The sequence below is a fragment of the Homo sapiens genome, chromosome 14 (assembly GCF_000001405.40).
Source record: "Homo sapiens chromosome 14, GRCh38.p14 Primary Assembly".
In the NCBI taxonomy this organism is placed as follows: Eukaryota; Metazoa; Chordata; class Mammalia; order Primates; family Hominidae; genus Homo; species Homo sapiens.
Window position 1 is genome coordinate 106,440,563 of NC_000014.9, and position 24,436 is coordinate 106,464,998.

General features: G+C 40.4%; 1 long non-coding RNA gene, 4 pseudogenes and 1 further gene across 1 annotated transcript in view; 1 reads left to right on the forward strand and 5 right to left on the reverse strand.

The window, feature by feature from the left end:
• LOC124903400 (uncharacterized) overlaps positions 1 to 6,125 on the forward strand; it is a 45,163-nt gene extending 39,038 nt beyond the window's left edge. Inside the window, exon 2 of the long non-coding RNA XR_007064371.1 lies at positions 5,598 to 6,125. This is a non-coding gene — a long non-coding RNA (uncharacterized LOC124903400). The remainder of the gene's footprint in view (positions 1 to 5,597) is intronic.
• The window catches only part of IGH (immunoglobulin heavy locus), a 1,293,408-nt gene that overhangs the window by 854,126 nt on the left and 414,846 nt on the right, over positions 1 to 24,436 (reverse strand).
• On the reverse strand, positions 372 to 448 carry IGHVII-40-1 (immunoglobulin heavy variable (II)-40-1 (pseudogene); annotated as a pseudogene). The gene is given in 1 exon segment: positions 372 to 448. A coding segment is annotated over 1 exon segment (77 nt).
• On the reverse strand, positions 2,567 to 3,022 carry IGHV3-41 (immunoglobulin heavy variable 3-41 (pseudogene); annotated as a pseudogene). Its single transcript is given in 2 exon segments — positions 2,567 to 2,873; positions 2,977 to 3,022. Coding segments are annotated over 2 exon segments (353 nt in total).
• On the reverse strand, positions 18,380 to 20,744 carry HOMER2P1 (HOMER2 pseudogene 1; annotated as a pseudogene).
• IGHV3-42 (immunoglobulin heavy variable 3-42 (pseudogene)) lies at positions 22,692 to 23,126 on the reverse strand (annotated as a pseudogene). Its single transcript is given in 2 exon segments — positions 22,692 to 23,005; positions 23,109 to 23,126. Coding segments are annotated over 2 exon segments (332 nt in total).

Consider the following 24,436-nt stretch of genomic DNA (forward strand, 5'->3'; position numbering starts at 1 on the left):
GGACTACATGGGGAAATGGGTGTTTGTCTGTGAGAAATGTCCATGTGCGGACATATGGGCTTGTGGGAGAAGAGTCTACTCAGGGGAAAATGCATTTGTGGGAGGAAGATGTCCACATGAAACAATGTGTGCTTGTCTGAAAGTACAGTCCACAAGAAGCCACGTGTGCTTGTGTGTGGCAAGAGTCCATGAGGGGACAGACGTGTTTGTCTGAAAGAAGAATTCATGTGCAGACACATCTGCTTGTCTGAAGATATAGTGCATGTGGGAACATGTGGGCTTGTCTGAATTCATGATAAGTGGGCTGGAATTCATCCTCCACTCATCACGTATGCACCTGACCCACTCCTGTGCTTTCCATCCAGTGCCTACAGGAAGCACTGATTGTGACAGAGAATCCAGAGGCAGCACAGGTGAGTGAGGGGGTTTGCAAGGGCTTCACCAGGCTGATAATTGACTGAGAAAAACAGTTGTTAGCATGCACAAGTTCTGGACGATACATTGGAAACCCTACCTACACACATTTTGGTAAAAATAATAAAATCCACTTCTGTTCAATTTTTGAGATTTCTAGACCAATTCAGTTGATTCTGAAGTTAGATTCAGGCAAATATGTAATAAACTTGCACCAAATTAAAAACAAGGATGAAATACGGTCAGGGAAATGGATATTGAATTATTTCCATTTTCTATGATGAGGCTGATTTTTAGAATAGAAATGGTTTGAGAGCCTAATGGTGTCCTAAATCTGAAATCACAGTTAGATCTGAGCAGCAATCACAGGAAGTGGAGGTCTCACCCCCCATGAGAAAGCACCTGTGTCTATAAAACTGCACTGGGAGGTCTCTGCAGGCTCTGAGTTGTGTAGGACTAACTCCTACCCCAGACTCAGGAAACATGAAAATCTCTACTCTTTTTGTCGAGAAGGTCAGAGTTAGTGTGCAGAAAGAAGCAGATTACTTAAGATCTCTGCACATGGACAGGAATCAAATAATATGAGAAACAAGTGATCTCACTCTAAATTTAACAGTCCCTCAAGAGAAAGGCTACTATGTGCCTGGACCCTGCACAGAAATAAGTAATAATTCATTTGGGGTAAATGTGAAAATTACAGTTGTTTGTAGACTGCATGCTTGCTTCTCTACGTCATATGAAAGAACCGAATAAAATTAGGTATTCCATGAGATCCAGTCATTTGCAACAACATGGATGGAACTGGAGGTCACTATGTTAAGTGAAAAAGACAAGGCACTGAAAAAAAAAGCATTGCAGGTTCTTACTTATGTGTGTGCTCTAAAAATCAACAGAATTAAACTCAGGAACATGGATGGTAGAAGGATGGTAACTGGAGTCTGGGAGGCTAGTGGGGGCCAGAGAACAGGTGGATATGGTTAATGGGTACAAAATACAGAGTTAGAAAGAATGAATAACACCTACTATTTAGTAGCAAAATAGTGTGACTATAATCAATAATGACTTAATTGCACATAATAAAATTACTTCCAAAGTGAAATTGGAATGTTTTTGTAAATCAAAGGACAAATGATTGAAGGGATGAATACCCCATTAACCATAAACCAACAAATAAAAGTATGTGTTCTGAAGTAAATATCCCTAGAGTATATGTTGGCCCAGAGAATGCACCTCTCAACCCTCCAACATCAGGGAGCCTATGGACCAGACACCCAGCTGCCCCTCTCTGACATCCATGACCTGGTTTGTGCCAAAGCCCCACATCCTGGGAGCTTGTCCTAGACAATGACTGCACAGTGGAGATACTAAGGTGTGGCTGCTGTTGAGCACATGGGTTATCCCTGAAGGGCAACTGTGGTTAGGGAGGCACTGAGGGTCTTGCTGGGCTCAGCTTAAACCATACGTTAGTTAGGATGATCCATCAACCCCCTGCCCTTTCTCCTGCACTTGTGGTGAGATTTGCATCCTGGGTTGACAGTGTCTACAGCCTCACCTGACTTCCTGGGCAATTTTTCTGCTTCCATCAGTGACACTTGCAGATGAGAATTTTTCCTCCTATAATAATGAAGTCTTTTTTGGCTAGGCACAGTGGCTCATGCCTGTAATCCCAGCACTTTGGGAGGCCAAGGTGGGAGGGTCTCCTGAGGTCAGGAGTTCGAGACTAGCCTGGCCAACATGGTGAAACCCTGTCTCTACTAAAAATACAAAAATTAGCCGGGCGTGGTGGCAGTTGTCTGGAATCCCAGCTACTTGGGAGGCTGAGGCAGGAAAATCGCTTGAATTCATGAGGCGGATGTTGCAGTGAGCTGAGATCATGCCATTGCACTCCAGCCTGGGGCACAAGCACGAGACTTCATCTCAAAAAAAAAAGTGTTTAAACTTAGCAACCTCATTAGTGGGCACAGAAAAATAAATATACAGAGGCTCACCAGGAAACAGTTAGATGTAGACGAAGCCACAGACCCTCTTGACATCCATCTGCACCTGCCTTTGGGCTGTCCCTGTCTTCAGGGGATCCTGGGCACCCTCTGGTGGCCCCGCGTGCCCCTGCAGGGAGGTTTGTGTCTGGGCTCACACGGACTTCCTCTCACTGTGTCTGGTACAGTAATACATGGCCGTGTCCTTAGCTTTCAGACTGTCCATTTGCAGATAGAGCATGCTCTTAGAATTGTCTCTGGAGATTGTGAATCGGCCCTTCACAGAGTCTGCATAGTATTTCTGACTTCCATCATTCCAGATATGTGCCACTCAGTCCAGCCCCTTCCCTGGAGCCTGGCGGACCCAGCTCATGCCATAGCTACTAAAGGAGAATCCTGAGGCTGCACAGGAGAGTCTCAGGGACCCCCCAGGCTGGACCAAGCCTCCCCCAGACTCCACCAGCTGCACCTCACACTGGACACCTGCAAACAAAAAGAAACCCTGGTCAGAAACTTCCACACAAATCCACTGTTTATCTCACTCTTATCCACTCACACTCAATTTCAATAGTTCTCAATGAATTACCTTTTAAAATAGCGGCAAGAAAAACCCAGCTCAGCCATGACTCCATGGTGAATCCTCTGTGTTCAGTCCTGATCACAAAATGAAAGCACCTGAAAATCCCAGGGCTGGGGCTCCTCTCCCACAGCTGCAGGGTCAGGGCTGGGCTGGTTTTCATAAGCAGAGGGAGGGCCCTATTTGCATGTCTCCTAATACATGCCAAGCTCTGGGATGGGACGCCTGAGGAGAGAGTGGGGCTCAGAGCATGTGAGAGTGTCCTGGGGGAGATTTGTGATATTGATAGCATTTGGAAATTCTGGTTTCTTATTGTAAGTTTGTTCTATGATAAACCCTTAAAACCTATAAAATTTATAGTTTTGTAATTTTTATTTTAAAACAGTTTTATTGAGGTACAATTGATCTACATAAACTGTGTGTATTTAAAGTTTGCACCTATCATCTTTTATTTTTCCATATGCACAGAAACCATGGTATGTAGTATCAATGTTATTTCCATGTTACAGATGAAAAAATATCAGCAAAACACAGATGGATTGTACAATGTCCCCAGCACTCACATTTGGTCAGAGGGAGTCTGGTTATCTGGGCCCGTGCTTCTAACCACTGGTCCTGACTTCTCCCTGAACCAAGCCCAGCATACAGGAGGTCACACCAAGTGAGGTTTGCAGAACCTTTTCTCTGTAATGAGAACATGGTGTGATGTGTATGCACTGTTGCGATTACCTAACAAAAAGTAAAGTATGTTTCCTACAGTTTTATTTTCTTGATTGTCATACATTTGTCATGTAAGTGTCTATATTTCCATCAATCTTAATTGAACAAATTATCCATCCACTTATTTGCAATACCCTTATTGAGGCATTATTGCCACGTAATAAATACTGCATAATTAAAGTGTCTGGTTGAATAAGCACTGAAGCCGAGCATGGTGGTGCACAGCTGTAGTCCCAGCTAGATAGGGCAGAGGGAGGAGGATTGCTGGAGACCCAGGGTCTGAGGCTGCAGAGAGCTATGATGTCACCACGGAGCTCCAGCCTGGATGACAAAGCAAGAAAATGTCTCCAAAGGAAAAAAATGTTATTACACATGTGCTCACCTGTGCATCCCAAATAACAATCAAGATACCAATGAATTACACTTAAAAGCTTCCCTGTGTTCCTCTCATTCCTGCCTCCCAGTCATTTTCCTCTCACCATATTGAGTCAGTCATCTTTGTTACTTTAGATCTATTTTTCAAGATTTTGTTCAAGTGAAATCTTATAGTTTCAATTTCATTTGTGTGGTTTTCTGCACAGTATAATTACTTGTGAGCCAGTAATTTGGTTCTATATAAATAATGTGTTTTTAAAATTATACTTTAAGTTCTGAGATGCATGTGGAGAACGTGCAGGTTTGTTACATAGATATACATGTGCCATGCTGGTTTGCTGCACTCATCAACCTGTCATCTACATTAGGTATTTCTCCTAATGCTGTCCCTCCCCTTGCTCCCCACCCCGACAGGCCCTGGTGTGTGACATTCCCCTCCCTGTGTCCATGTGTTCTCACTGTTCAGATCCCACTTATGAGTGAGAACATGCGGTGTTTGGTTTCCTGTCCCTGTGATAGTTTTCTGACTATGATGGTTTCCAGCTTCATCCATGTCCCTGCAAAGGACATGAACTAAAGAATGTGTTGATTCTAATGAGGAACAGTATTACAGTTAATGAGTGCACCCTTACTATTTATTTATAATGCTCCTTAATAGTTGTGTAAATTCCAGTTACTGAGTACTACAAATAAATCTCCTACTCAGCCTGGAGATGTATGCACCCCTTAAAATATATTATTTTTGGCTGGGTGCGATGGCTTATGCCAGAAATCCCAGCACTTTTGGAGGCCAAGACTCCTGTAGTCCCAGCTACTATGGAGGCTGATGCAGGAGAATCGCTTGAACCAAGGGGGCGGAGGTTGCAGTGAGCCAAGTTCGCACGACTGCACTCCAGCATGGTGACAGAGCAAGACTCCATCTCAAAAAAACATATATATTTTTACAGAAACAACTAACCTTACTGATCTGCAAATTAGCACATTTTCTTTAATATTTCAGATTATTGATGTTATAGGGCAAACAAGAAACCTTACATCTTGCAAAAGTCAGTCACTTGCAGGGATAAACAGGAAGAGAAAATGGCCTTATCTGGGGCAATGGCCAGCAAATGTCACATAAGCTAATGCAAGATTAAATTAGACATATTTATTACATTGTTTAAAATTGAGTATAATAAATAAGTTATTGTTTAAATTCTCAGAGAACATACAACTGAGAGATTCCTATTGCTATTGAAAACTTTTCTCCCAGGATTGAGGACACATTACAAAAAGCTCTTCCCTGTAGCTCCCAAGATGGTTCTGTGCTGGAAAGAAAAACAGCAACTGCAGCTGAAATGCATCCAGACCCACCTCCACTGTCACCACTACATTGCTAAAGAATTAACATGCAGGGGCAAAGCCACTAACACCTTTGTGTTACTGGTACTGGAGGAACTCATAGAAACTGGGATAGAAGAAAGAAAAGCTCCAAAGCCCTGTTCATTCTCTCAGGAATAACAGCCTCATCTCCCACCTCCTCTCTCTTTCTTCAGGAATAAAAGCCTCATCCTGCTGGGAAGGGCAGAAAAGAGGAAGCTGAAGACATCAGTGGGAAGACATAGTATAGTGGCTGCTGGAAGAAGATCTGGGAAAAAACAAGGAGACCCTCTACCCAGGAATGGGAGGAAGATGCATGGATCAGCATCACACCTGCAGGAGGGCAGGGATACTTGGAAGGACACAACCTGAGCCAGGACTGTGATGTCTGCCTGCAGTATGGCTCCCTCAGAAGGACAGAGAGTGCCCGTTCAGTGCGACCCTTCCCACCACATTGACAATTGTCCGGTCCATGTGGCTTTAGAATGACCTGGGGGATTTGAAAGACAGAGTCTCTCTGGATAGCACAAGACTAAAGCCCAAAGCCAAGCAGGAAACAAAATTAAGGTGTTACTGGAGGAATCTGGGTGTCTGGTGGCTACAGAGGAAATGTACTTCAATTCTGGCAGCCACTGCAATAAGGACTTTCAAATGTAGTCCTGAGTAGTTTCACACAATTTTCTACAATAAAGGCCTAGAAAAGATATGGTGTTATCATCTACAAAAAATGCAAAAAATCATAAAACAAATAATTAGCTGATATAATAAATCTGATAGAAGTATCTGCAGAACATAAATATCAAAATAACTTGCATAAATACATTAAAACATTTACACTTGATCCCATTGTTAGTCTATGCCTAACTTCATAAGAAATTGCCAATATGTGGTATACCCAATACTATTATAACTAATACTATATTGATTTTATGCTTGTAACAAAGAGCACAGAGTAGGTTCTGTAAGAACTATTAATGAAAAAGTCAACTTTGCAAAATATTTAGATTTATTCGAGCCAAATGTGAGGACCATGCCCTGTGACACAGCCCCAGAAGATCTTGAGAACGTGTGCCCAAAGTGGCTTGATTGCAGCTTAAATTTAATGTCTTAGAGAGAAAGACATCAGTCAATACATATGAGACATGTGTCGATTTGTTTCATAAAGATAAAAGAGCTACAAGTGAGGCAGTGTGGGGAGGGGATTACAGCTTACAGGTGAATTCAAAGATTTTCTGATTGAAAGACTTAACTTTTTATTTAAAGAGCTGAAATCAGTAGAAAAACGTTTCTGTGTTTGAAGGGGGCCAGCCCCTCCACAACTGTGGGTATTTCTCGTCAGGTGGGATGAGAGACTGAGAAAAGAAATAAGACACAGAGACAAAGTATAGAGAAAGAACAGTAGGCACAGGGGACCGGTGCTCAGCATACGGAGGACCCACACCGGCACCGGTCTCTGAGTTCCCTCAGTATTTATTGATTATTATTTTCACTATCTCAGCAAGGGGAATGTGGCAGAACAGGGTGATAGTGGGGAGAAGGGCAGCAAGAAAACGTGTGAGCAAAGGAATCTGTGTCACAAATAAGTTCAAGGGAAGGTACTATCGCTGGATGTGCACATAGGCCAGATTTATGCTTCTCTCCACCCTAACATCTCAGTGTAGTAAAGAGTAACAGAGGAGCATTGCTGCCAACATGTCTCACCTCCAGCCACAGGGTGGTTTTCTCCTATCTCAGAATAGAACAAATGTACAATTGGGTTTTATACCGAGACATTCCATTCCCAGGGACATGCAGGAGACAGAGGCCTTCCTCTTTTACTAATCCTCCTCAGCATAGACCCTTCACGGTTGTCAGGCTGGGGGACGGTCAGGTCTTTTCCATCCCACGAGGCCATATCTTAGGCTGTCTCAGTGGGGAGAAATGTTGGACAATACCCGGCTTCCCTGGGCAGAGGTCCCTGTGGCTTTCTGCACTGCATTGTTACCCTTGGTTAATCAAGAATGGAGAATGGTGATGACTTTTACCAAGCATACTGCCTGTAAACATATTGTTAACAAGGCACATCCTGCACAGCCCTAGATCCCTTAAACTTTGATTCCATACAACATATGTTTCTGTGAGCACAAGGTTGGGGCAAAAGTTACAGATTAACAGCATCTCAAGGCAAAACAATTCTTCAGGGTACAGATCAAAATGGAGTTTCTTACGTCTTCCTTTTCTACATAGAGTAACAGTCTGATCTCTCTTTTCCCTACATAGGTTAGGATAACGGGTTTTGGAGAACAAGATTCTTATTATGTAGATGAATTCTCTTATGTGGCCACCGTTAGAGGCAGTAGATAGCAAATGTTTTCTACTATGACATTTAAAAGATGCTAGACTCTCAGCTAATCTAACAACTAGACCTGGAAAGGGAAGGAGATTCGCTACAGAACGTAAATTTCTCTCTCAAAAGATAACTGTGCAGGGTGATTTTAAAATATGTCAAATAAATATATTTTAGGGTAAAAGTCTTTGATTCTTTTCAAGGTCTGCTCTCTGTCATGTGATCCTATTCTTGAGTCAGGTTAGAATTTGGTATCTTACTGCTGCAAAGAATCTGTTTTCTGAGTCTTAAGATCTGTTTTAATGAAAAATACTGGTTAGTTGTGCTTGAATTCCAAAGGGAGGAGGGTATAATGAGGCATTTCTGAACCTCTATTTCTCACATGAACTGCACTACGTTTTCAAGAGTCTCTGGAACTCCTTTTTGACAAGAAAGGGTACATTCAGGGAATGTGCAATTAGCTGGATTCCCCTGCATTGCTGTTTTTTAATACCTAATTTATATAGATACATGAGTTCAAAATCTTTATGGGGTATATATTTTGATAAAAGATTATTATATGCAGTGATTAAATCTGGATAACTGGTATATCTTTCATCTCCATCATTGATTATTTCTTTGTGTTAACAATTCTAAATCTTCTCTTCTAGCTGTTTTGTAATATACACTAAATTATTAACTGTACATGTCTATGTGCCATTTCAGCATTACCACCAGCAAAGAGTGAATGTTCCTGTTTTTCAACTTCCTCATCACCATTTGGTATTATCTATATTGTGTATTTTACCCATCCTCATAAGATAGTAGTATTTTTTGAATATTAAACATGCATATACCTAATGAAAATGAAGTTGATCTCTTTATATTTATTTTTAGATGCGATTTCTATTCAGATCTTTGCCCATTTTAAAATTAATTTGTGTGGTTTTGTTGTTGTTCAATTGTAAGGTAATTTGTACATTTGTGATAAAAGTCATTTTCCAAATATTTGATTTGCAAGCAAATTCTCCAAATCTAAGACTTATGTTTTCACTTTCATGTAAGGGTTTATTTTCAAAGGCCTAAGCTTGCTAGAGTAAGCCATGGCCGTAGGATTATGGAACACATTTCTCTCCACATCTTACAATGACATCGCTAAAGGCCTCTTTACAGCAGTTTCTTTTACCTGGTACATAATTTCTGGCTAAAAAAATCACGAGACATACTAAAAGAAAAATATCACAGTGTAATGAGACAGAACAAGCATTAGAATGAGACTCAGCTACGTCATGTAAGTTGGAATTACCAAACAAGGAATTTAAGACCCCGCTATAACTCATATGCTAAGGGCTGTGATGAGTTAAGCAGAGGGCATCCAGGAACAGTTGTGTTATGCAAGTCGAAATATGCAAACTCTTAAAAAGCAAAAAAATGTAGATATCAAGAATATTGTAACAGAATTAAGCAATGCTTTCAATGGACTTATATGTAGACGCAGCATGGCTGAGGAAAAAAATCTGAAATTAAAAATATCTCAGTAGCAATGTCCCAAACTGAAAATGGAGAAATATTTTTTTTAAAAAGTAAACACACAAATACACACACAAACATACAAGTACACAAATACACACCCATAAGAAACCAGAACAGCTTATCCAAGAATTGTGAGACAATTATAAGGGTATAACATGGGAAAGAGAAGGAACAGAGAAAGGTTAAGAAGAAATATTTAAAGCAATGATGACTGACAATTTTTCCAAATTAATGTCAATCACCAAACTACAGACTCGGGATTATGATCATTTCATCTACAGAGATGGTTTGACATCCTCTCTTCCGGTTCTGATGCTTTTCTTTCTCTTGCCTGCACGCTCTGGCTGGGACCTCCATGACTATGATGAACAGGAGTGGTTAGAGTGGGAATGCTTTTCTTGTTCCAGTTTTCAGGGAAAACTGCTTCCAGCTTTTGCCCATTCAGTATGATTTTGGCTGTGGGTTCATGATAGATGGTTATTATTTTGAGGTATGTTTCTTCATGCCTAGTTGAGGGTTTTGGATATGAAACAATGTTAAATTTCATTGAATACCTTTTCTATGTCCATTGATAGCATGGTTTTGTTTTTAGTTCTGTTTATGAGACGAATCACACTTACTGATTTGCGTATATGAACCAACCTTGCATCCTAGGAACAAAGTCTACTTGATCATGGTGGATTAGCTTTTTGATGTGCTGCTGTGGTCAGTTTGCTAGTATTTCATTGAGCATTTTTGCATCATGAATATTGGCCCAAAGTTATCTTTTTTTTTAGTCTCTGCCAGGTTTTGTTATCAGAATAATGCTGGTCTCACAGAATAATTTAGGGAGGAGTCCCTTATCCTAATTTTTGGGGAATAGTTTCACTAGGATTGGTAGCAACTCTTCTTTATACATCCGAATAAATTCAGCTGTGAATCTTTCTGGTCCATGGCTTTTTCTGGTTGGTACCACCTATCCATCTTGATTTGTGACCCCTGCCTGAGCCAGTAATAATCACATTAAATTCAGACAAAGCTGAATCCAATCCAATGTTTTTATAGTTCTTAACAGCTTTACTGGCTCACTTAACTTCAGTGAACATTTCCTCACCCAAAACAGTTTCACTACCAATAATATTTAAGGATTTCCACTGGATTTGTTTTTCATGTCATCCAGTGATGCAACTACTTAAAACAATGTTGACTTCTCTACATGCACAATAATCATCCTACTATTGTTGAATGGGCCAGCAACCCTCTACTCCTGCTTCTTCCATCTGCACAGCTGCCTGCAAGACCTCCCTGGAACTCAGGTCTCTATTGTAGGGCAAACTTTGAGAAATGTCACATCTACTCAGTGCTACAAATAGAAAAAGCTAATGGAAGCTCCTCTGCCCACTGACATGTTAGGCCTGTAATGTATCCCAGAGCCTCCCTTTATCCCCACACCTATCCCAGAGCCTCCATTTATGTCACTGCCAATGAATTTTGTGTTATTTTAAAATATAATTTTAATAGACAATAATTGTAACTATTCATGAGGTACATAGTGATGTTTTGATACATATAATGCATAGGGGTCAGATTAGGGTAATTAGCACATCCATCATCTCAAACCATTTCTTTTTGTTAGGAACACTCAGTATCCTTCTTCTAACTATTTAAAACTACATATTATTGTTAACCGTATCCATCCTACAGTGGTAAAGATCATTATAATCTATTCCTCCTCCCTAGCTCTAATTTTGTATTATTTAACAAATCTCTGCCTATCTCGTCCTTTACCCTACCCTTCCCAGCGTCTGGTATCCTCTGTTCTATTCTTTACTTCTAGGAGACCATTTTTTTTTAAGTATCCACCTATGAGTGAGAAAACAAGGTGTATTACTTTCTGTCCCTGGCTTAGTTCATTTAACATAATGTCCTCCAGTTCCATCCTCATTGCCACAAACAACATGATTTCATTTCTTATGGCTGATGAGTACTTCGTCATGTATATGCACCACATCATCTTTAACCATTATTCTCTTGTGTTCAACACCTGTGTTGATTCCATATCTTGGCTATTGTGAAAGGTCCTGCCACATACACTGGGGTGCAGAATTCTCTGATACAATGATTTTCATTCCTTTGGATAAATTTGCAGTAGTGGAATTGCTGGATCATACGGTAGTTCTATTTGTAGTTTTTTGAGGTACCTCCACACTGCTCTCCATAGTGACTGTACTAGTTTACATTCTCCTCAACAATGCATAAGAGTTTTCTTTTCTCTGTATCCTTACGAGCATTGGTTAGTGTTTTGTTTGTGTGTGTGTGTGTGTGTGTGTGTGTGTGTGTGTTTAATATGAGCCATGTTAACTGAGGTGAGATGATACCTTCTACCATCCTGCAGGTTGTTTACTCACCATGTTGATTATTTCTTTTTCTGTGCAGAAGATTTTTACTTAAGTCCTGTTTGTCTGTGTTTTCATTGCATTTGCTTTTGAAATCTTAGTCATGTTTTATTTGCCTAGGCCAATGTCCAGAGAACTTTTTTTTTGCATTTTCTTCAAGTATTTTTGTAGATTCAGTTTATATTTTTAAGTGTTGAATCCATATTCACTTAATTTTTGTCTATTGTGAGATAGAAGTCTGGTTTTATTCTTCTTTGTGTGGCTGCCCAATTTTCCAAGCACCACTTATTGAATAAAGGGTTGTTTCTCCAGTGTATATTTTTTGTCAGTTTTGTCAAATAACAGGTGGTCGTAGATATTTGGCTTTATTTCTGGGCTGTCTGTTGTGTTACATCAATTTTTATTTTTTGTCACTACGATGATGTCATTCTTATTATATCTGTGTAGTATAATTTGAAGTCCGGCAATGTGGTGCTTCCAGCTTTGTTACTTTTCCTTAGGGTTGCTTTTGATGTTCAAGCTCTTTTTTGATTCCATATAAATTTTATGGTTTTTTAAAATATGTAATCAATTATATTGGTTACTTAATAGAAATTGCATTGAATCTGTATATTGCTTTGGACAGTGTACTAGTCTATTTGGCTTATTTGGCTGATAGTTCTGCAGGCTAAGTGAGAAGCATGGCATCAGCATCTGCATCATGTGATGGCCTCAGAAAGCTTACAGTCATGGTGGAAGGCAAAGGGGAAACAGGCTGTGTTACATGGTGAGAGGGAGGACATGAAAGGGGAGGATGGTTGCTAGATTATTTTGAAAATCAGATCTCACAGTAGATAATACAGAAATAATTCACTAATTACCATGGGGTGGATACCAAGCCATTCCTGAAGGATCTTTCCCCATGTCTCAAAACCTCCCAGTCGGCCCCACCGCAAATGCTGTGAATCACATTTCACCTTGAGATTTAGCAGGGACCATCATCTAAACTATACCATTTTACTCTTGTGTCCTGATCTCATGTCCTTCTTAGATTGCAAAGTCATCTTTTTTTTAATAGTTTTTTTAATAGTGACCAAACTCTTCACTTGGTCAACCTCCGACTGAAAATACCAAAGTCTCCTCTGAGTCTTAAGGCAATTTCTCTGCAGCTATGAGCTTGCAAAATGTTTTAAACAGGCTGGGCGTGGCAGCTCACGCCTGTAATCCCAGCACTTTGGGAGGCCGAGGCGGGTGGATCACGAAGTCAGGAGATCAAGACCATCCTGGCTAATACAGTGAAACCCTGTCTCTACTAAAAATACAAAAATTAGTCGGGCGTGGTGATGAGCGCCTGTAATCCCAGCTACTCGGGAGGCTGAGGCAGTGAAGCCAGGAGACAGGGGTTGCGGTGAGCCGAGATCGCGCCACTGCACACCAGCCTGGGCGACAGAGCAAGACTCCGTCTCAAAAAAAAAAAAAAAAAGTTTTAAACAGTTGTTTACTTCCAAGGTGCAATAGTGCCACAGGAATTGGGTAAATATTGTCAATACAAAAGGAATAAATTGGCCAAAGGAACTGCCAACAGGCTCTAGACACACCTAAAGCCTAGTAAGGCAGATATTAAATCTTAAAGCTACAAAATAGTCTCTCTTGACTTTATGTACTTCCACCAGGGCACACTAGGACAAAGGGGGTCCCAAAAACCTCAGGAATATCATCCCTGTAGCTGGGCACAGCCCATGGTGCTGCTTTCACAGGTTAGAGTCAAGTGCCAGAAGGTTTTCCAGGCTGAGAGGACAAGCTGCCTTTGACTCTACCATTCTGGGATCTTGAGGGTTGTGGCCACATTCCCACAGCTTTACTATGAAGTGCCCTAGTGGGGACTCTGAATGGGGGTTCCGACCCCATCTTTCCCCATCTTTGGTATTGTCCTAATAGACACTGTCTGTGGTGGCTCCACTCCTGCAGCAGGCTTCTTCCTTGGCATATAGGGTTCTCCATGCACATCTTCTGAAATCTAGGTAGAAGCTGCCCAACCTCCTTCACTCTTGCATTCTGCATATCTGCCAGAATCCATTTATTGAATAGAGTTTTTTCCCCATTGCTTGTTTTGTCAGCCTTATCAAATATCAGATGGTTGCAAGCATGCAGCTTTATTTCTGCTTTCTCTTTTGTTCCACTTTTTCTGCATGTCTGCCCTTTTACCAGTACCAAGCTGTTTTTGTTACCATGACTTTATGGTGTAGTTTAAATTCAGTACCATGATGCCTCTGGCATTGTTCTTTTTGCTTAGGATTGCTGTGGCTATTCAGGGTCTTTTTTTTATTCCATATAAATTTTAGAATTTTTTTTCTATTTATCTGAAGAATGCTGGTGAGAGTTTTATGTAAATAGCATTGAATCTGTAAATTGCTTTGGGCAGTATGACAATTTTTACAATATCAATTCTTCCAATCCATGAGTATGAAATGTTTTCACATTTATTTCTGTCATTTGTGATTTCTTTCTGCTGTGTTTGGTAGTTCTCCTTATACAGTTTTCACCTTGTTTTTTACCTGTATTTTCAGGCACTTCATTTTTTGTGAGCATTGTAAGTGGGACAGGATCGTGTTCTTGATTTCACTCTCAGCTTGGATGTGGTTGGGATATAGAAATGCTGGAGACTTTTGTACATTGATTTTTGTATCCTGAGACTTTACCAAAGTTGTTTATCTCTCTTGAATTATTTTGTCAGAGTCTTTAGAATTTTATAGGTATAGAATTTTATCATCAGTTTGGACAGATACATTGCATTCTTTTCCCATTTGGATGCTGCATTAGTCCATTCTCACACTACAAAGAAACACACAGGAGTGAGTAATTTATAAAGATATTTAATTCTTTAATTTAATTTAATTCATGGTTCTGCAGGCTGTACAGGAAGCATGGCTGGGGAGGCCTGGGGAACCTGACAATCATGACAGAATGGGAAACATCATGTCTTACATGGCTGCAGCAGGAGGAAGAGATAAGGGAGAGGTACCACACACTTTGAAACCAGATCTCCTGAGAGCTCTGTCAGGAGAACAGCATGAGAGAGGAAAACACATCCCCATGATCTAATCATCCTTTACCAGACGCCACCTCCAACATTGGTGGTTACAATTCGACATGCTATTTGGGTGGGGACACAAATCCAAACCATATCAGCTGCCTTTTATTTTTGTTATTGCCTGGTTCCTCGGACTAGGATTTCTAATACTATGTTCAATAGGAGTGGTGAGACGGCATCCTTGTCTTTTTTCAATTCTCAAGGGGTTTGAACTTTTGCTTATTCAGTATGATGTTGACTGTGGTTTGTCATAGATAGCTCTTATAATTTCGAGGTATATTTTTCTGATGCCTAGTCTGTTGAGGGTTTTTATTATGAGTGGATGTTGGATGCTATTAAAAGCTTTCTCAGCATCTATTGAGATAATCTATGTTTTTCGCTTTTATTTTGCTTACATAGTGAATCAGTTACTGATTTTTGGATGTTGAATGAAACTTGCCTTCCAGGGGTAAAGCCTACTTGATCATGATGTATCACATTTTAAAGTGCTTCTGGATTCTATTTGCTAGTATTTTGCTCAGAACTTTTAGGTCTATGTTCACCAGGAATATTCATCTGATGTTTTCTTTTTTAATTATGTGTCTTCCTAATTTTGTATGCCAAGAACACACAGTGAAGAAAGGACAGTCTCCTCAATCAATGGTGTAGAAAATGGTCATGCATGTGCAAAAAAAAAATGAAATGAAACTAGACCTTCTCTAACACCATATACAAAAATCAACTAAAAATGAACATAACCTGAAACCATAAATCATAGACAACATGGAAAAATATTCGTCATTGATTCAGAAATTATTTGAATTTAATACCAAAAGCAAGCACAGTAAAAAAAACTATGTGCAATTATATATCTAACAAGAAGTTCCACCCAAATATATAAATTAACCATACAACTCAACAGCAAATATCAACTGACCTAATACAGAGGGCAAAAACCTGGTTAGATTTTTTTTCAGAAGACCCACAGATGAAAAACAGATCCTAAAAAGGTACTCAACATTCCTAATTATCAGGGGAATTCAAATAAAAAGCCCAATGAGATATCACCTCACACCACTTAAAATGGTTATTATCAGCAAGACAAAAGATAACAAATGTTGGCAAGAATGTGGTGAAGAGGGTATCCTTATATCGTATGGTAAGATTGGTTAGTCAATAAATTGAAAAATAAAGCTATCATATGACCTGGTGATCCCACTTCTTGTTATATCGTCAAAGGAAATAAAATTATGATGTCAAATACATGTTAATTGCAAGATTATTTATAATAGTGTAGATTTGTGAAAGAATTTAATGACCATAGATTGATGACTGTATAAAGAAAATGTATATATATAAACTGAATTTCATTTGGCTTTCAAAAAAAAAAAGGAAATTCTGACATTTGCAACAACACGGATGGAGCTAGAGGACATGGTGCTAAGTGGAATAAGCCAGATGCCGAAAGACAAATGCTTCACGATGTCATCTGCATGTAGGATCTAAAATATCCAAGTTCTTGATAGCAGCGAGTAGAGTACTGGGTCCCACGACCTGGGAGGAGAGGGAAATTGGGTGATATCGGTCAAAGGGCACAGAGTTTCAGTTGTGCAAGCTGAATCATTTCTGGAGATCTAATGCACAGCAATGTTCCTGTATTTAATACTATATTGTAAAAGTGATTTTTGCTAAGAGTAGGTCTTAGGTGTTGTTATCAGACACACATACACACACAAGCTCTACATTTAAAAAAAATTAAACGGTAGCTCTGTGAGAAGATGGATATGCAAATTACCTTGACTATGATGAGCATTTTACAATGTATATCTGATATGCTTTGGATCTGTGTCCTACCCCAAATCTCACGTCGTATTATAATCCTCAATTGTGGAAGTGTGACCTGGTTGGAGGTGACTGGGTCATGGCGTGGGTCCTTCATGAATGGTTTAGAACTGACTCCTGGTGCTGTTTTCATGACAATGCATGAGTTGAGTTCTCACAAGTCAATTAAACATCTTACATCTTTTTTTTTTTCCAAATTACTCAGTCTCAAGCTTTTTTTTTTTTTTTTTTTTTTTTTGACAGAGTTTCGCTCTGTCGCCCAGGCTGGAGTGGAGTGCAGTGGTGCAATCTCAGCTCACTGCAAGCTCCACCTCCCAGGTTCACGCCATTCTCCTGCCTCAGCCTCCGGAGTACTGGGACTACAGGCACCTGCCACCACGCCCAGCTAACTTTTTGTATTTTTAGTAGAGACGGGGTTTCACCGTGTTAGCCAGGATGGTCTCGATCTCCTGACCTCATGATCCGCCCACCTCAGCCTCAGGCATTTCTTTATAGCAGTGTTAGAATGGACTAATACAATATCAAAACATCAATTGGTGCACCTTAAACATATATATTATAAAAATATTTCAATTATGCCTCAATACCACTGAAAAAAATTAAACTTACTCTTAGAATAAAGAAATACATACTTCATATTTTCTCAATAAAAATAGAACATCAGAAAACTTACACTAAGCTATTTGTAACAGCTCTGCATATAATATTCATAAACTGGACACAAATTTAAAGTCCACTGACATAAAAATAAATGAAAATATTGTCATTTATTTACTTAATGGACTGACTCAGATATAAAATATCTCTGCTTCCTCTCTTTCTCTCTCTCTCTTTCCATGTACATGAAAATTTTGGTGGTTCATATCACAGTCTGTCTATGAATTGAATAAACGACAATATGTTGATCTAATTTTATACATTAGCTAGCATGAATTAACCTCAAAAATAGAAAAGTAGCCCCTTACCAAAAAAAGTCTATAATGTTTGATTCCATTTATATAAAGTTCAAAGCAGAATAAAATACATCTATAGTGTCAGAAATCGAAACCTTTCCCCATGCAGGATTTGACCACAGGCATAGAAAAAGACGCATGTTTTGGGGAGAGACTTGCTCTTCAGGCTACCTTAGGTGCTGGGGACAAAGGTATTCACATTTGCCAGAAACTCTCTAGTGACACATTTCAGATCTATGCATTTTTTCTTATGTGTGAATTTTATCTCATAAAAACAAAAAAAGTAGAAAAGTTTGAAATTCAGTAAATAGTAAAATTAATATTAAAATCCTATCTAAAATATGAACATTATTATATGAATTAATAAAAGGCATTCCAGTATACCTACTAAAATTAAATCCCAGATATCAAAAAGATAATGCTAGCATCTGAAACTTAAATAATTATAAGCATACATTTTATAGAGAAGGAAAAAATACTCAAGACATGGGGAACATGTATTTTTTCCAATCAAATGTCACTAAATTATGTATACAATATTGTAACCTGTGTCATTAGTATAAATTACTAATATTTTGAGTAATATTACAACTGAGAACAACTTTAAAACGAAAAAGGATATTTGAGAGCACATGAACTGAATTGAATGTATTTTCAACTGTGGTCCAACTATTACACTGCTAATAATACCCTGGTTTTGAGTGGGGCTTTAGAAAAAAATTTTTTTGAGACGGAATTTCACTTTTGTTGCCCAGGCTGGAGTGCAATGGCACGATCTCCACTCACTGCAACCTCTGCCTCCCGGTATCAAGTGATTCTCCTGCCTCAGCCTCCCGAGTAGCTGAGATTAAAGGCATGCACCACTCCCGGCTATTTTTTTTTTCATATTTTTAGTAAAGAAGAGGTTTCTCCATGTTGGTCAGGCTGGTCTCGAACTCCCGACCCCAGGTGATCCGCCTGCTTCAGCCTCCCAAATTGCTGGGATTACAGGTGTGAGCCGCACAAACGTTTATAAAAAACCTACTTTGCACCAGGCATTGTGCTAGGCACCCTCACTGTGTGCTGTTCCCGCACCACAATCATCCGCTCAGAAATTAAAACCAAGAAAAGGAACATTGTCGCAACCATACAAACTGGGGGGCAGAGGGCAATATCGTGGATGCAGGTGATCCCCAGGCCAGAAAATGTACCCACCAGAAACCTGTTTGCCATCTCGATAAGTCTCCACTAAACAGTTGTTTTAAAGCCTCTCGTTATTGACGGAGAGGAATGTTGTTCTCCCTGTGCCCCCTGGGCCTGGCGCCTGATGGACATTCAAATACCCTGAATGCTATTCGATAAAAGGAGCCCGATGACCTGGTGTAAAGAATATCAATATTTGGATTAGAAAGTGCTTTTTTTCAGTTCATATGGTTTCAACAGCCCTTATGAAAAATATAAACATCCCTGGCCTGACTGTGTAAATGTTGAAGGTAGACCTAGTTCTGGATTCCTGAGTCAAAATCTTCCAGTTGTCCACAACCTCACAAGGCCAGAGAAGCGAGAGGAAATTTTTCTTTTTCTTTTTTTTTTTTTTTTGAGATGGAGTCTCGCTCTGTTGCCCAGGCTGGAGGACAGTGGTGCGATCTCGGCTCACAGCAAACTCTCTCTCCTGGTTCAAGCGATTCCCCTGCACCAGCCTCCCAAGTAGGTGGGACTACAGGTGCTTGCCACCAAGCCTGGCTAATTTTTTGTATTTTAGTACAGACAGGGAGGGTTTCACCATGTTGGCCAAGATGCTCTCGGTCTCCTGACCTCGTGATCCTCCCGCGCTTCGACCTCCCAAAGTGCTGGGATTACAGGCGTGAGACACTGTGCCTGGACAAGAGATTTCTATTCTGGGAAGGGGTGAGTGGACGGCACAGTTGGTTTGGAAATACAAGAAACTGCGCCTGCATTTACAGAAGCAACGCACACAGGGAACGTCCTAGCGCCATCTGGTCTCGCACACACGCTTGGGACTCACAGGAGGGGCCTGGGCCTCGGCCAGCCCTAGTTATTGGTGCACAGTATGCAAGGCCTGGGCGGAAGTCAGGCAGGTTGTGGATCTTCCGGTCCAGCACCTCCGGGAAACTCTTCACCTCCACCCCCAGGTGGCGCTGTCTGGATTTGCTCTCCTCAGTGTCTCTCTTCAGGGAACGCACTTTGTCTTCCAGGTTTTGATCCTCTCTCTGCCGCCTCCATCTTCTCAGAGACACAGTTGCACTCACCTGAGCTGAGGAGTAGTTTTACTTTGCTTTTGGGGACTTCCACTCTTTCTCGTTTTCTCGGAGCTCCGCCTCCAGCTCCTCGATCTTCCTCTTCAGCTGCGTGTTCTTCTCCTCTCTGTGGATCTCACGGCCTCTTCCTCTGCTCCACGCTGGCCACCGACTCCTGCAGCGCCGTGGGCAGCCGGGCGTCGCTCTCCCGCCGGATCTGCAGCTCCATCTCCCACCTCTTCCCGTGGGCAGCTCTCTGCGTCGAGGCCGCCTTCAGCTTGTGGTTCCCAGACTGCAGGTGCGTGTCAGCTGCAGCGGCCTGAGAGGCCTTTCATCGTCCGTCCCGTTGACACTGGATGCCGGAGTAGAAGATGGGGCTCCATGCCCGGATTCTCGGGATTATTACTCGAGGGCTCCATGTTCTCCTGGGTCTTGTCTTTGGCTGTCTTGGCCGCTTCCTCCACCTCCTGGAATTTCTCTGCAAACTTTGTCAGCTGCTGCTCAGAGGAAAACCCCAAACCAAACACCGTGTTGGCTCTGCTGTCGGCCCACTGCCCAGACGTCTGTGACACATTGGTGAAGGTCATATTCGGTGTGATTGTGCTGTTTATGGTCACCTTGGCTCCGTCCACACTGACGATCCCATAGATGTTCCTTGTGACATCATAGAAGTAAGAAACGGTGACCGCCTGTTGCTCGCAGGCATCCAGTGCTTTTTGGTGTTGGGGTCAATCTGGAAGACCTGTGCTCCGGTGGTGAAGATGGGCTGTTCTTCCATCCCCGGCACTGCTCCGGCGGCCACTCCGACCCGGCCTCTCACGCTCACTGTCCGCCCGCTTGGCGTCTGCTACCGGCGCGGCACGTGCGGAGGCCCCTGCGCGCCTGGCTCAGCCCAGGCGCCGCTCCATTCCACCAGGCGCGGGCAGGCAGGGGCTCTCGAAAAATCATTCTAAGAGATAAATTAAAAGAGTAATCTGTAATAAGGGGAATAATCTGTAATAAGCATTCCAACTCAGAAAAAAACTGAATATATGTAATACATATAAACTCCTGAGAAGAAAGGTCGAAGCACAAGAAGGGTCTCATGTGTAGCAGGTTGTAATATGTTTATTGTTAAAATTATTACCTTCATTTTTTTTTTTTAAAAAAAGCAAAGCATAATGAAATTAAGTTTTTGTGCTTATCTGGTACAACAGCCTGTTGAGAAAAATGAAGAGCCCTGTAATCCTGAGGAGGGGGCTTAATCCAAAGAGAGATGCTCCAGGTCCTGTGCACATGAAAGATTTGCCTGCTTCTGCCCATCCAGGAGCTTACTTCCTGAAGCCTTTGAAGCCTTCAGGAGGCAGGAGGCTGAATGAGTTTCTCAGGACAATCTAATCATATCCTGACAGGGAGAAAAAAATCATGACCTAGGACGGATTAAAAAATGTATAATTAAAATTTCATTGAAAATTGAGAAATTTTGACTATGTATTTATAGAGTGCAAAGCTATGTTATGATTTATGAATGCAATATGGAATAACTGAATCTAGCTAATTGACATATATATCAACTCAAATCCTCAAATCCTTATTGTGTGTGTTTGTGTGACAGGGACATTTGAAATTTGTTCTTGGCCATTTTAAAATGACCAATACACTATATTTAAGCTTACAAATAGATACCAATTTATGTAAACTATAGAGAATCATTGCAATGAATAATGGATTACTATAATTTATATTTAGTTAATCATTAAGTTTCATTCATTAGGACATATTTTATAATGATTTTATTATATTAAATATAAAAGACTAGACATGTATGCATAAGTTTGTGTATTTACACATATGTCTACAGATGTAAATTAATGTCGCCATAGCTATGTAGTTGAAGATATCAACAGATGTTAATACAACCTAGGAGAATAAGTGCATATTATTAGGAAGAATTATTTTTGAAGGATTTTTTTTATTCTTTAAGTTTTAGGGTACAGAGAAATGCAAATCAAAACCACAATGAGATACCATCTCACACCAGTTAGAATGGCAATCATTAAAAGGTCAGGAAACAACAGGTGCTGGAGAGGATGTGGAGAAATAGGGAACACTTTTACACTGTTGGTGGGACTATAAACTAGTTCAACCATTGTGGAAGTCAGTGTGGCGATTCCACAGGGATCTTGAACTAGAAATAACCATTTGACCCAGCAATCCCATTACTGGGTATATACCCAAAGGATTATAAATCATGCTGCTATAAAGACACATGCACACATATGTTTATTGTGGCACTATTCACAATAGCAAAAACTTGGAACCAACCCAAATGTCCAACAATGATAGACTGGACTAAGAAAATGTGGCACATATACACCATGGAATACTATGCAGCCATAAAAAATGATAAGTTCATGTCCTTTGTAGGGACATGGATGAAGCTGGAAACCATCATTCTCAGCAAACTATTGCAATCACAAAAAACTAAACACCGCATGCTCTCACTCATAGGTGGGAATTGAACAATGAGAACACATGGACACAGGAAGGGGAACACACACCGGGGCCTGTTGTGAGGTGGGGGGAGGGGGGAGGGATAGCATTAGGAGATATACCTAATGTTAAGTGACGAGTTAATGGGTGCAGCACACCAACATGGCACATGTATACATATGTAACAAACCTGCACGTTGTGCACATGTACCCTAAAACTTAATTTTTAAAAATACCCCTACATATAAATTTAAAAATTACTAAAACACAAATCCCAATTTTAAAAAATCATGATAAATAACCATAGTAAAATATCAAAACCTCATAAGACTCCATATTCCTGCAAAAACAAACCCGCCTCCTGCAGCTGAGAAAGGAAACCTCCCCCTGCACCCGCCCCTGGGACCTGTCCCATCCTCAGTGGGTCCCGAGCGCCCCCAGTTGGCCCTGCGCGCCCCTGCAGGGAGATTTGTGTATGGGCCTACGTTAACCTCCCCCTCACTGTCTCTAGTACAGTAATAGATGGCCGTGTACTCGGTTTTCAGGGTATTCACTTGCAGATACAGTGTGTTCTTTGAATCATCTCTTGAGATGGTGAACCTGCCTTTCACAGATGCAGCGCATTCTGTCGTGTAACTGTTACGTTTGGTTCTAATACGGCCAACCCACTCCAGCCCTTTCCCAGAAGCCTGGCGGATCCAGTGCATTCAGAAGTCACTGAAGGTGAATCTAGAAGCTGCAAATGAGAGTCTCGGGGACCCACCCAGGCTGTACCAAGCCTCCCCCAGACTCCACCAGCTGCGCCTCACGCTGGACGCCTGCAAACACAGAGACACCCTGGTCAGAAACGGCCACACATATCTACTGTTTCTCTCACTCATGTCCACTCGCACTCAACATCTCTCATTCTCCATAAATCACCTTCAAACTCCGAAACAACATTATACTGAATAGGAATATGTTGAAAGTATTCCTCCTAAGACTCAGAACACGTCAAGGATGCCCACTTTCACCACTCTTAATCAATATGGAACTTGAAATCCTAGCCAGAGAAATTAGGCAAGAGAAAGAAATAAAGGCACTCAAATTGGAAAAGAGGAAGTCAAACTCTTTGTGTTTGCTGATAATATGATTTTGTACTTAAAAAAACTAATATTCTTTCAAAATACTCCTAGAATTGATGAGTTAATTCAGTAAAGTTTTAGAATAAATGAAAAAAGCATACAAAAACCAGTAGCATTATTATACACAAGTAACAATCAAGTAACAATCTAGCAGAAAGCCATAGATGAGTGGAACAGAATAGACATTTCATAAATAAAGTCAAATGCCTGCAGCCAAACTGACTGTGAAAAACTAGACAAGAAGCATACACTGGGAACAGGTCACCTTGTTATATAAATTGTGCAGGAAAAACTGAACAGCCATTTGCAGCAGAATAAAACTGGACCCGTATCTCTCACTATATCCAAAATTAAGCCAATATGGATAAAAGACTTAACTGGGAGACCTGAGAGTCTGAAAGTTGCAGATGCTATTCTAGGAAATATTGTTCTGGAGATTGTCCTAGGCAAAGAATTCATGACTACAACCTTAAAAGTAAACAATAAAAACCGAAATAGACCATTTGGACTTAATACAAATAAGAAGCAAAGCATCTGAACAGCAAAACAAATAATCAAAAAACTTAACCGAAAGCGTACAGAATGGGATAAACTATTTTTAAACTCTGTATCTGACAAAGAGCTAATATTTACAAACTACAAGAAACAAAAGCAACACAAAAACCCACAAATAACCACATTAAAAATGAGCAAATTACTACAATGTTTATTTTTCAAAAGACAAAAAAATCATCAACCAGCATATGAAAAAATAATCAATGACATTAATCATCAGAAAAATGCAATTTAAAGACACAGTGAGATACCATCTTATACCAGTCAGAAAAGCTACTATTAAAACAGTCAAAAAGAAAAATGGAACAAAACAAAAAACAGATGCTAGTAAGGATGCAGAGAAGCAGGAGTGCTTATACACTGCTAGTGGAAATGTAAATTACTATAAGCTCTATGGAAAACAGTATGGAGATTTTGCAAATAATTAATATTGGAACTAATATTTCATTCAGCAGTCCCACTACTGGGTATCTACCCAAGGGAAGATAAATTATTATATCAGATAGATGCCTGCATTTATATGTTTATTGCTGCTCTATTCACAATAGCAAATACATGGTACCAAACTAA